This window comes from Homo sapiens, chromosome 12 (assembly GCF_000001405.40).
Source record: "Homo sapiens chromosome 12, GRCh38.p14 Primary Assembly".
NCBI lineage: Eukaryota > Metazoa > Chordata > Mammalia > Primates > Hominidae > Homo > Homo sapiens.
The window spans coordinates 79,869,918-79,882,966 of record NC_000012.12 but is presented as its reverse complement, the minus strand read 5'-3'; the positions used below and the strand labels follow the sequence as shown (position 1 = coordinate 79,882,966).

The 13,049-nt window shown below is 37.4% G+C and overlaps 1 protein-coding gene and 1 pseudogene across 5 annotated transcripts in view, besides 2 other annotated features; both read left to right on the top strand.

Moving 5' to 3' along the window:
• PPP1R12A (protein phosphatase 1 regulatory subunit 12A) overlaps window positions 1-13,049 on the top strand; it is a 161,898-nt gene that overhangs the window by 52,494 nt on the left and 96,355 nt on the right. For all 5 annotated transcript variants that reach the window (NM_001244992.1, NM_001244990.2, NM_001143885.2 and 2 more), the window contains one exon: window positions 10,029-10,159. In NM_001244992.1, coding sequence (NP_001231921.1) covers window positions 10,029-10,159 — 131 coding nt within the window. The remainder of the gene's footprint in view (window positions 1-10,028; window positions 10,160-13,049) is intronic.
• On the top strand, window positions 4,548-4,662 carry RNA5SP363 (RNA, 5S ribosomal pseudogene 363; annotated as a pseudogene).
• Window positions 7,352-7,888: an enhancer, noted in NCBI's record as "OCT4-NANOG hESC enhancer chr12:80268859-80269395 (GRCh37/hg19 assembly coordinates)". NCBI's record gives its function as "activates a minimal SCP1, AML or CMV promoter by ChIP-STARR-seq in primed H9 embryonic stem cells {active_cell/tissue: H9 hESC(primed)}" and the evidence as "EXISTENCE:reporter gene assay evidence [ECO:0000049][PMID:30033119]".
• Window positions 7,889-8,426: an enhancer, noted in NCBI's record as "OCT4-NANOG hESC enhancer chr12:80268321-80268858 (GRCh37/hg19 assembly coordinates)". NCBI's record gives its function as "activates a minimal SCP1, AML or CMV promoter by ChIP-STARR-seq in naive and primed H9 embryonic stem cells {active_cell/tissue: H9 hESC(naive and primed)}" and the evidence as "EXISTENCE:reporter gene assay evidence [ECO:0000049][PMID:30033119]".

Sequence of the window (13,049 nt, the reverse complement as noted above, 5' to 3'; positions counted from 1 at the left end):
TGGGGTTTCACCATGTTGGTCAGGCTGGTCCCATACTCCTGACCTCATGATCCTCCCGCCTCGGCCTCCCAAAGTGCTAGGATTACAGGCATGAGCCACCGCGCCTGGCCTAGTGGAGGGTCTTGACTTGATGTTGGCTGCTGATTAATCAGGGCAGTGGTTGCTGAAGGTTGGAGTGACTGTGACAGTTTCATAAAATAAGACAAGTTTCCCTCATCAACTGACTCTTCCTCTCATGAAAGATTTCTCTGTAGTATATGATGCTGTTTGATAGCATTTTACCCCCAGTAGAACTTCTTTCAGAATTGGAGTCGATCCTCTCAGACCCTGCCACTGTATCAACCAAGTTTATGTCATTTTCTAAACCTTTTATTGCTATTTCAACAATGTTCACAGCATCTTCACCAGGAGTAGATTCCCTCTCAAGAAACCACTTGCTTTGCTTGTCCATGAGAAATAACTCCTCATCTATTCAAGTTTTAATCATGAGATTGCAGCAATTCAGTCACATCCTCAGGCTCCACTTCTAATTCTTGTTCTCTTGCCGTTTATACCACATCTGCAGTTACTTCCTTCACTGAAGTCTTGAATCCCTCAAAGTCCATGAGGGTTGGAATCAACTTTCAAACTCCCATTAATGTTGATATTTTGACCTCCTTCCATGAATCACCAATGTTCTTAATAGCATGTAGAATAGTGAATTCTTTCCAAAAGGTTTTCAATTTACTTTGCCCAGATCCATCAGAGGAATCACTATCTGTGGCAACTAACTATAGCATTACAAAATGTATTTTTTAAATACGAAGACATGAAAGTGGAGATTACTCCTTGAGCTGCAGAATGGATGTTTTGTTAGCAGGCATGAAAACAACATTAATCCTGTACATCTCCCATCAGACCCCTTGGGTGACCAGGTTCATTGTTGTTAGCAGCAATATTTTGAAAGGAATCTTTTTTTCTGAGCAATAGGTCTCAATAGTGGGCTTAAAATACTTAGTAAACCATGCTGTAAACAGATGTGCTGCCATCCAGGCTTTGTTGTTCCATTTATAGAGCACTGGCAGAGTAGATTTAGTGTAATTCATAAGGGACCTAGGATTTTTGGAATGGGTAATGAGCACTGGCTTCAAACTTAAGGTCACCAGCTGCATTAGCCCCTGAAAAGAGATTCAAACTGTCCGTGGAAACTTTGAAGCCAGGCATTGATTTCTCCTCTCAAGCTATAAAAGTGCTACATGTCATCTTCTTCCAGTAGAAGGTTGCCGTGTCTACAGTGAAACGCTATTGTTTAGTTGTAGCCACCTTCATCAGTGATTTTAGCTGCATCTGGAAGATGCAGCTTCTCCATCAGCACTTGCTGCTTCACCTTGCACTTGTATGATATGGAGATTGCTTCTTACCTTAAACCTCATGAATCAACTTCCTGTTAGCTTCAGACTTTTCTTCTCCAGCTTCCTCACCTCTCTTGGGCTTCATAGAATTGAAGAGAGCTGGGGCCTTACTCTCTATTAGGCTTTGGCTTAAGGGAATGTTGCAGCTAGTTTGACCTGTCCAGGTCACTAACACTTTCTCCATGTCTGCAGTAAGGCTGCTTTGCTTTCTTACCATTTGTGTGTTCACTGGAGTAGCACTTTTAATTTCCTTCAAGAACTTTTCCTTTGCATTAACAACTTGGCTGTTTGGCACAAGAGGCCTAGCTTTTGGCCTACCTCAGCATACCTTTCTCACCAAGCTTAATCATTTCTAGCTTTTAATTTAAAATGAGAGACACATGACTCTTCCTTTCACTTGAGTACTTAGAGGTGATTGTAGGGTTATTCATTGGTCTAATTTTAATATTGTTATTTCTAAGGGAATAGGGAGGCCTCAGGAAAGGGAGAGAGATGGGGAACTGCCGGTTTGTGGAGTGGTCAGAGCATATATATAACATTTATCAATTAAGTTCACCATCTTCTATGAATATGGTTCATGGCGCCCCAAAACAATTGAAATAGTAACATCACAGATCACTGATCACAAATCACCATAACAGATCTAGTAATAATGAAAAAATTTAAAATATTGTGCAAATTACCAAAATGTGACACAGACATGAGGTAAGCACATGTTTAGAAAAGTGGCACCAATACACTTGCCTGACACGGGGTTGCCACAAACCTTCAAATTTTAAACAAACAAACAAAAAAATGCAGTATCCATGAGGCACAGTAAAACTAGGTATGCCGATATCGGTGGTTGTTTAGCTCAGGCCCTTTCCTCTTCTTATTGCTTCTGTGACCTTTCTGAAATACTGATCTGATCACGTCACCCTTCTTCCTAAAAACTCTAAATAAGCTTTTTCAAGCATCATCTTGAAATTCTAAAGTGTTTTTTTCTACTTTCTCCTACTACTTACTTGAGCCACCGTTACTGATGGGAACATAGCAGATTCTGTTCGTCTGTTGAGGTAAAAAGAGGTTGAAAATCATCTGTAGTACAACTACAGTCTTTGCATTATATTCAGATCTTTTACCACTTAGCCTTATCCTGTTTTATAACTTACAGATACTGTCTACCACTGGTTGACTGACTGTTTGTTTATTCCATGAACTTTTAAAATCAGCAGTGTCTGTGCTCAGTGAGGTTCTTGCCAGTTGATTTGGTACTTGAACTCTTATATAATCTTCAAAATTATGCTCAAATATGTAGGGACCCGTATGGACCCTCTTAGTCACAAAAAGATCTCTTTATGTCCTCCGTGATATTTTAGTACTTTCTACCCACTGCTATTATGGCCCTTATGTGATCATTGTTATTTATGGACTATCCAACTATATTTTAATGTGATCTTTTTCATACGATCTTGGCATATATACTTTTTAGTATATATAATATGAAAAATAGCTAAAGGAATTAGTGATATTTAGCCGTAAACAGAGAATATGCTAGAATTCTTGGGGAAAAAAATGTTTTCAGAGTATTTAGAGGTTATCAGTTAAAAGAAGGATTGCATTTGGTATGTGGAGCTTGAGGAGGCAAGGCATGGAAGTTAAAGGAATACATATTTTAAGTGATACATAGTAGTCTCAAATGGTAGCCTGCTTTTTTTTTTTTAACTTTTTAACTTGAGGTATAATTTACATTGGTAAAGTATACAACTCTTAAGTATACAATTCAGTGAAATTTCACATATGTATATCTCTATGTAAAAATCACCCCGACAAAGATAGGGACATTTCCAACTGTCCGGAAAGCCCCCTTGTGTCCCTCCTGTCATTCTCCCACAGATTTAACCCTGGTTCTGAGTCTTATCACCAGATCTTATTTTATCTGGAGACCTGCAGTATGTATCCTTTTGTACCTGCCTTCTTTACTCATTTATGTATTTCATTCATGTTGTTGAAGATAGCAGTATTTTGTTCTTTTTGTTCAATGTTCTTTTCTTTTTTAATCAGTTTATAGGATTCTGTTATGTGAATAGGATCTCCCTTTCTACACCTCACCCCACCCTGTGTATTTATGCATTCCACATAACTTTAGTAGATGCTATTAGATAGTTTTCTGAAGTGGTTGTGTGAATTTCATACTTTCACCAGCAATTTGGTTGTTTTCTTTTTTTTTTGAGACAGTCTTGCTCTGTTGCTCAGGCTTGGAGCTCAGTAGCGTGATCTTGGCTCACTGCAACCTCCGCCTCCCAGGTTCAAGCGATTCTCATGCTTCAGCCTCTCAAGTAGCATGTGCCACCGTGCCTGGCTAATTTTTGTATTTTTAGTAGAGACGGGGTTTTGCCGTGTTGGCCAGGCTGGTCTTGAACTCCTGACCTCAAGTGATCTGCCTACCTCAGCCTCCCAAGGTGTTGGGATTATAGGCATGAGCTGCCACACCCAGCCTTGGTTGTTTTTCCACATTACCGTTTAATGCTTTTTATGTAAGAAAGAACTTCTTGAATTTTTTACTTGAAACACTATTCATTGTAGACATTTTGAAAATAAAGGAAAAATTAAGGAAGAAAATAAAAGTGGGTCTCACAACCATTATTTTTAACCTTCAGGATGCATTCTTTTAGTCTTGTGTGAATTTTTTTAGTAAAGTTGATGTTTTGGCTGTGTTCCCACCCAACTCTCATCTTGAATTGTAGTTCCCATAATCCCCATGTGTTGTGGGAGGGACCCAGTGGGAGGTAATTGAATGAATCATGGGGGCAGTTACCCCCATGCTGCTGTTCTCATGATAGTGAGTGAGTTCTCACAAGATCTGATGGTTTTATAAGGGACTTTTCCTGTTTTGCTCGGCGCTTCTCCTTGCCACCGCCATGTGAAGGAGGAGGTGTTTGCTTCTCCTTCCACCATGATGGTAAGTTTCCTGAGGCCACCCCAGCTGTGTGGAACTGTGAGTCAAACCTCTTTCCTTTATAAATTACTCAGTCTCTGGTATGTCTTTATTAGCAGCATAAGAACGGACTAATATAAAACTTTAAATCATATTAGGCATTAAAAAATACATTGTGTGTTTTCTCCTATATTCTTTTATCCTTTTCCATTTCCATATTTGCATCCTTTTTAAAAAAAACTTGCTATACCACCTTGAAAACACCTGATCTCATCTAATCTAGGAAGCTAAGCAGGGTTGGATCTGGTTAGTACTTGAATGGGAGACTACTAGGAATACCAGTTGCATTTGGTATGTGGAACTTCAGGAGGCAAGACATAGAAGTTAAAGGAATAGGTATTTTAAGTGATACATAGTAGTCTCAAATGGTAGCCTGTTTTTTTTTTTTAACTTTTTAACTTGAGGTATAATTTACATTGGTAAAGTATACAACTCTTAAGTATACAATTAAGTGAAATTTCACTTATGTATATCCCTATCTAAAAATCACCCCAGCAAAGATTTGTAGTTTTGTAGTGTTGTAGGCTTAAAAAACAAAACAAACAAAAAAAAAACCTTCTTAATATATTGTGGGCATTTCCCCATATTCTTTTATAAAGAATCATTTCTTATTTGCTTGTTGATATTTTTCGGTTTAAAAGAATAATCATATTTGTATTACATATAATTATCAAGTAGGGTTTTATATTCTTATACTGAGGATAAAATTCAGGATACAGTTTTGGAGCCTATGGGATTTAAAAGAGGTTGAGAAAAAAAGGTGAACAGAATTTAATGAGTATCAGCCGGGTGTGGTGGCTCACACCTGTGATCCCAGCACTTTGAGAAGCCAAGGTGAGTGGATCACTTGAGGTCAGGAGTTTGAGACCAGCCGGGCCAGCATGTTGAAACCCCATTTCTACTAAAAATACAAGAATTAGCCAGGCATGGTGGCACACACCTGTAGTTCCAGCTACCTAGGAGGCTGATGCAAGAGGATCGGTTGAACCCGGGAGGCGGAGGTTGCATTGAGCCGAGATTGTGCTGCTGCACTCCAGTGTGGGCGACAGAGCAAGACTCTGTCTGAAAAGAGAAAGAATTTAATCAGTATGATTTCTCAAGGAAAGTGAATGATTATGCAAGTCACAGTAAGTCACTCTCTTATCTCAGCATTCTATAAACTACTTTCTAATACAATACACTTTTTATGTTTCTTCGTCATTAAATAGCTGTGATTCTCAAACCTCTTTCTTTTAACCACTGCCCTGTGAAAAATAGTTTTCTTGAGCAATATCTGTATCAACGTTGCCTATGTATTCTTTTATCATCTGTTATATGTAAGATATGTTCTAGGCACTTTGGAAAACTGCCGTCAGCTTGCTTATAACTTGTTCTAGAGGGAAGATACATAATAATTTTAAATATGGTAGGGAATTTTTATGATAAATACCCCCTCACACTTCTTCCCTCCACTTGAAATATAAAGACACCAACGTCCAAAAAGATTAAATTACTTGTTCACAGCCACAAAATTTGTGGCAGAGCCAGAACTAGAACCTAAAACCAAAAGCTGTGATTCCCTCTCAATGCTTTTACCCTTTTTTTTTCTGAGATGGAGTCTTGCTCTGTTGCCCAGGCTGGAGTGCAGTGGCATGATCTCGGCTCATTGCAACCTCTGCCTCCCGGGGTCAAGCGGTTCTCCTGTCTCAGTCTCCCGAGTAGCTGGGACTACAGGTGTGTGCCACCATGCGTGGCTAGTTTTTTGTATTTTTAGTAGAGACAGGGTTTCACCATGTTTCCCAGGATGGTCTTGATCTGCTGATCTCATGATCCACCTGCCTCAGCCTCCCGCTTTAAAACTTTTTGGGTACACTGTATAGTGCTTTTCTTGATAGAAACTTTGTCATTTTCTTCCTTAGGGAAATGCTGCTAAAAGCATTTCTTTTGTTTCTATGGTAGTTAAGGAAAATTTATTTCATGTATACAAGTAATACTTAGCCCCTAGAATGCGTGATATCCTGTTGCAGGTGAGAAATGTGTTGATAAACTAGGAACATCTGTGGAAAGCAGTGTGTTAAGTGTAGAAAAAGCTTAGTTTCTGGAACCTGAGCATCTCTGTGAGATTCCCAGCCCTATCATTTCCTGTCTGTGTGACTTATTCAAGCTACTTAATCTCTTTGAATCTTAGCTTCCTCCTACATTCATTAATTCATTTATTGAGCCCAAGAACTCAAGGTATTGTGGAAGCAGCCGAATTCTGCATGTCAAGAACTGTGCATGGTATTGAGGATGCAGCAGAATTCCTGCTCTCAGTAAACGCTCATTCTGGGAGTGGGTAAACAGATGGTAAATAAGTAAGCAAAGTATATATAGTATGTTGTAATAAACGGTATGGAGAAAAATAAAGTAGATACTCAGGATATAAAATGGTAGGGAGGGGGTTGTAATTTTAGTATGCTGTCCAAGAAAGGCAATACCAAAAAGGTGAGAGTTGAGCAAAGACTTCATTTATGAAATGTGGATACAGTCATATCTTATTTATGCATTGCTTGTGTATAATGCTGATCCATTATCTCTCATCAGCCAGCCCCAAACTGCTCTTTCTTAGGTTGAAGTGGCATTTAAGAAGCTCTTTTGTTTTCTCCAAGAGTTACAGTCTGACATTAATATCCTTTTTTGTTGTTGTTGATGTGTTTTCAGTCCTAGAAAATAGTTTTTTTTCCCAAATATGAACAAACAGGAACTTCCTTTGGTGGTTAAGTACTGTCTTGGTGTTTAAGCCTCTTTTAAGGGGATGGGTAGATAAAGGTAATGGTCTATGTGTAGCAAAATGTATTAGAACCACTTTTTAAATGGCACATCAATTTTTATTACTTTCAACAGCTACTTCAAATATCCTTCCGGATTCTTAATAAACTTGGGCTTTTTATACATTTAAATGGGTAGCACATGAATTTTCCAACAAAGATCTTTTGGCAATAAACCAAAGATGACAGTGTGTAAATTAATATGTCTACTGATCAGTTTATTAGAAACACTTTTAGAGTACAGAGATAATAGTCATCAGCCCACATACTCCTAGTTGTGTATTAGTTGTTTATCATAGATAGGAAATAGGAGCTAATTAGTTCATTTACTGGGTTTTACCCACATTAGAAAAAAAGAGGCCACTTGCCCTCTGGGCAAATAGTGGCTTTGTGTGAATTAGGACGGAAAAAACCTTTCACCAAGTTAAAGGCTCCTTGAGTGGATTTCATCCCACCTTCCCAATCCCCCAAGTCAAATACATGGCACAGACTTTACATTCTTGGGCAGGGGTCCTGGTAATACATGGGGATTGCATCTCAGGAGGGACAATATGATGATGATTATGAATAGTGCCAATTCCAGAAAGCCTCCCCAGGGTAAATGGAGTGTGTTTATGAATACAACCTATCTCATAGGACAGGTATAAAGTACTTATATTCACATACAGATATATCCCTAATCTGAAAATTATGGAGTTTACAATCTAGTAGAGGTAGAACATAGGTATAAATAAGAAAATTGTGGCTATTGATATTATTGATAATGTGATAGAGTACTAGGAATTACTTGAAAAGGATGACTAGGAGGGCCTTCCTGAAGAAGAAACATCTGCATTGAGATTTGTTTAATGAGAAGGAATCAGCATGCTTAGATCTGGGGGCAGAGCATTCCTGACAGTGAGAACTGCAAGAACAAAGGCTCTGAGGTATCTGGTCAAGGAATAGTAAGGTCCCTATTGTGGCTGGAACAGAGTGATTTTAGGAACAATTGTGGGGAACAATGAGTACCTTGGAGTGGGTTTTTGTGAGAATAATGTATGTAAATCATAGATAAAGCACCTTTCATACTACCTGGCACAAAGCAAGCATTTGATAAAAGTTCCCTTCTTATTTACTTTAGGGCTGTAGTTCTCAAATTTTTTTTTTATTTTAGGACTTCTTTATATTCTTAAGAATTACTGAAGATTCCAATGAGCTTTTGTTTCTGCAGGTTATATGTATTAATATTTATAGTCTTAGAGTTTAAAACCAGGGATTTAAAATACAATTAATTCATTTAAAAATAACAATGATTTACCCCTGTTACCAAATGACATTTTTTAATTAAAATAACTAATTCATTTTTTCTTGGTTGTATGTATTAATATTTACAGTCTTAGAGTTTAAAACTGAGGATTTAAAACACTATTTAAAAATAATAGCGATTTACCCATGTTACCAAATAACATTTTTTAATTAAAATAACTAATTCATTTTTTCTTGAAAGTTTATCATTGGCAACAAATATACTGTTAATTGCTTTTCTTTTTTTTTTTTTTGGAGACGGAGTCTTGCTCTGTTGCCCATGCTGGAGGGCAATGGTGCAATCTTGGCTCACTGCAACGTCTGCCTCCTGGGTTCAGGCAATTCTCCTGCCTCAGCCTCCCGAGTAGCTGGGACTAGGCGTGCTCCACCATGCCTGGCTAATTTTTGTACTTTTAATAGAGAAGGGGTTTCACCATGTTGGCCAGGATGGTCTCGAACTCCTGACCTCAGGTGATCTGCCCGCCTCGGCCTCCCAAAGTGCTGGGATTACAGGCGTGAGCCACCGCGCCTGGCGTTAATTGCTTTTCTTGAAGTGACAGACTCATTTTGTTCATTTGCAAGAAAAGATCTCCCAAAAATCAAAGTTAGACTAACTGTAGTTTGTCATTTAAGTAGACATAATGTTGCATGGAAAAGTGGCTAAGTCAGCTTGCATCTCAATGTCACAAGTGCTTTTCATCAAGACAACCATCATACTTGGAAGAGGTGCTTTAACATACACTTCCCATCTTGTTCCAGAGAATATAAAAAAGACCTGTATACAAGGGCCAAGATTTAATATGTACCGCTTTGTCAAAGACATATATGAGTGAAAATTGCTGCCCCCTAACCACCACTTTTTTTGGAGACAGGGTCTCACTCTGTTGCCCAGGTTGGAGTGCAGTGGTGTGATCATAGTTCATTGCAGCCTTGAACTCAAACTCAAGCGATCCTCCTGCCTCAGCCTCTCAAGTAGATGGGATTACAAGCATGAGCCACTGTGCTTAGCAATGTTTTTTTTTTTTTTTTTTTAAATTATGAGTACAAAGTGGTTGAAACAGTGACTGTTAATAGAGGTGGGGTTTTTTTGGCCACTGCCATTATTTGTGCTAAAACACATGCAGTTTTACAGCTGGTACTTTTATACCATCACGTGTACATGTCAACAAAGTAAAAAAGGGAAATGACATCTTAGTTTTTTCTTGAAAACAGTTTTGCCCTAATCAACTCCCTAAAGGAATCTACTCCCCCTTCCCCCAGCAGACAACATTTTTGGGAACCACTGCTATAGAGACTATTGTTAGTACTTAATTATAATGTCTTCATTTTAATAGGTACTTGTTATCCAGATTGGGTTGCCATAAAGAGTCTAGGCACATACACTACTGTTGTATGTGTACCTAAGCAAGGACCCTTAACAATTTAGTGTCATTAGCATGTTTGATGGAGTATAGTCAAGATAGCAGCAGATTTATTTACAGAGAATATTTATATTATAAAAGCTACAAAGTAGGAATTTTATTCTATTGATGTATTATTTGGAGTGTTAATTCGTATTTTTTCCAATCTTGCTTTCTGTTTTGTTTTTAGGCTTGCATTGATGACAATGTTGATATGGTGAAGTTTCTGGTAGAAAATGGAGCAAATATTAATCAACCTGATAATGAAGGCTGGATACCACTACATGCAGCAGCTTCCTGTGGATATCTTGATATTGCAGAGTAAGCCAGTTCTGTGTTTTCATTTTATTCTAATACTGTTTGACAGACCTGAATGTTTATTGAAGTGATAAAGATAAATGAGTGAACTCTTATATTACTTTAATTCATGAAAATTATTCTTTCCAAGAAAGAAAATAAGTGGTTATTGGGAATCCATATATTCTCAGAATCAGATCTTCTTTTTGTCTCCCCACCCTCTTTGGCCTTTGGTACTTCGTATTAACATTAGTAATTGTACACATTCTCTGTCTCCATCTTTTTTCTTTTGAGTACAGCTAGAGCATTTTCAAATGATTGAGGGTTAATACTTAGCAGTCTAACTCATTCCTTTATAATCATAAATTTGGCAACTGGGTTACATTGCTATAGGGAGAATATGATACATAGTTCTCCAGTGAGCCTGTTTACTTAGTTTTTCTGAAGATTGTCTTTTTTAAAAAATACATTTTTTAGAAAATTCAATGAGAAATAGTCATTGTATTCTCTACTACCTTTAATGTGTGGGTACACACTAAGAACATCTGATTTTTTAAAGCATTTAACAGTGGAAGTATAGATATCTTGAAAAATAATTTTTTCATTAAATTATTTTTCTTATTACTATCTATCCACACAGTAAACAGTTTTGTTGTCTCTCTGCTCATATATGAAAGCTTATCAATGAATAAATATTGAATATGGGAATTCTACTCTGTAAATATCTTAGTAAGCCTTCATAGTTTTTTGTCTACATTTTGCTTTTTTTCCCCATTTGTGCTGGAGATACAATATCTCAATTTCAAGGCAGAAACTGTATGGTGAAATGAAAAGTGCTCCGGCCTGGGAACGATAAGGTCTGAATTACCCGAATTTTATTACTGACTCTGCCACTAACTATACGACATCTTTCCATAATTTGTTTCCTCTTTCTGAGCCATGATTTCTTTGTATATAAACTGAGGAAGTCTTTTTCCCGTTGCAAAACAGCAGTGGTTGTTCAAACCTAACAATTGTGATTCTCAAGTTCTTTACTTCCTTTTTGTACTTTTCCCGCTCAATCTCGAGTTCTTTACTTCCTTTTTGGACTTTTCCTGCTCAACAGAAGACTTAGATCTCTTCATAGAAAAAAAAACCCAGATAATTGTGCATTTATCTTTAACTACACTTAATGATTAGGCTCTGGAGTTAATTGATATGGAATATGAATGCCTCCTCAGTCACTATCAAGGAGTATAACCTTGGCAAGTTGTTTAACTTTTCTAGGCTTTGGTTTTCTCTTCTATAAAGTAGTATTTCCTAGGTTTGTTGTGATGATTAACTGCAGTAATTCATCAAACGTAGGACCTGGCTCATAGGAAATAGTACATATTAACTTTTGACCATTACCTTTTGTATCTACACTGGGAAAATTAAAACTCAACCTCTTTCTTCAGATGTTTAATTCTTATGTTTCCTTTTTGTATTCATGTTTCTGAGTTTGAAAAGACAATATTAATTGTCTTGAATAATTTCTTTGCATAGACTTGATTGGGTCACAGACCTATTGTGTCAGTTGGAATGCTTTTAGCTGCAAGTGATAGAATACCCAATTTAAAATGACCTAAAGAATAATGGTACTTGTTATACAGGATAAAATATCATTTAGAGGAAGGACATTTAGGCTTATTAAGCCACTCAGTGATGTCAGCAAGGACCTGGAATCTTTCAGTTTTTTCTTCTGAATTTCCCAAAAATGGACTTTATTCTTAGCCTTCTCCCCTCTTGGTTACAAGATGATTGCCACAACTCTAGAATTGTGTTTTACATATCCACATCCAAAAGCAAATAAAAAAAAAATGGATTGCAAGTAGAAAATATCCTCCCTGTATTCTGTGTACATCAAAGAGGAAAACCTTTCCCAGAGAGCCCTCCAGTTGCTGAAGACATCCCATAATGGGACTTCTTTTGGCCTGGTCTTGGTCATTTGTCCATGTTGTAGCTAGGAAAAGTAAATATCTTGGCATATTCAGCTTTTACATGCTAGTATATAAGAAGTATGAGGAAGGGTAAGCAGTTTGTTGCAGTTGCTAATGTTATCAGTAGGGTGACTATTTTCAGTTTTTGGAGGGTGGGATATGGAATATATGCTTTACAGGACTTGTGCAAACAAAAGTGACCTTTTTTGGCCAAGGTTGACTATAGTTGCTAATCTAATTAGTTTGAATTTATGACTGTGCTATAAACTATGGAGTTTCCTTGAACCAGATTAAAATTAGAAGAATAAGTTTTCCTTTTTATTCTTTCTGCCACAAGATTCTTTTTTAAAATAATGACTGTTTTTATAAAAGGCAGTTTAACTCTAGCATATACTGGATGATTTGTTAAGGTGATGATAGCCCAAAATCCTTCCGAATGCTCATTTTTATCAGCATAATCTCTTTTAGCAGGTTGGGCATGGTGGCTCATGCCTGTAATCCCAGCAGTTTGGGAGGCCTTGCTTGAGCTCAGGAGTTCGAGACCAGCCTGGGCAACATGACAAAACCCCATGTCTGCAAAACATACAAAAAAATTAGCCAGTTACAATGATGTGTCCCAGCTACTCTGGAGGCTAAGGCAGGAGAATTTCTGGAGGCTAAGGCAGGAGAATTGCTTGAGCCTGGGAGGCAGAGGTTGCAGTGAGCTGAGATAGCACCATTGCACTTAAGCCTAGGTGACAAGAGTGAAACCTTGTTTCAAAAAAAGAAAAAAATACATTAAAAACACCTCTTTCAGCAGTTAATTTCACTAATGATTAAGTGAAATTAATGAAACCCTAGTTTTCTTGGGTATAGAAAAATAATAGTCTGGTGGCCTAATTGATAGGGTGAAGATAGTCCACAGATCAGTGTTTTATAGGCATGAAAGAAAGCACTTATAATAATAATAATAATAA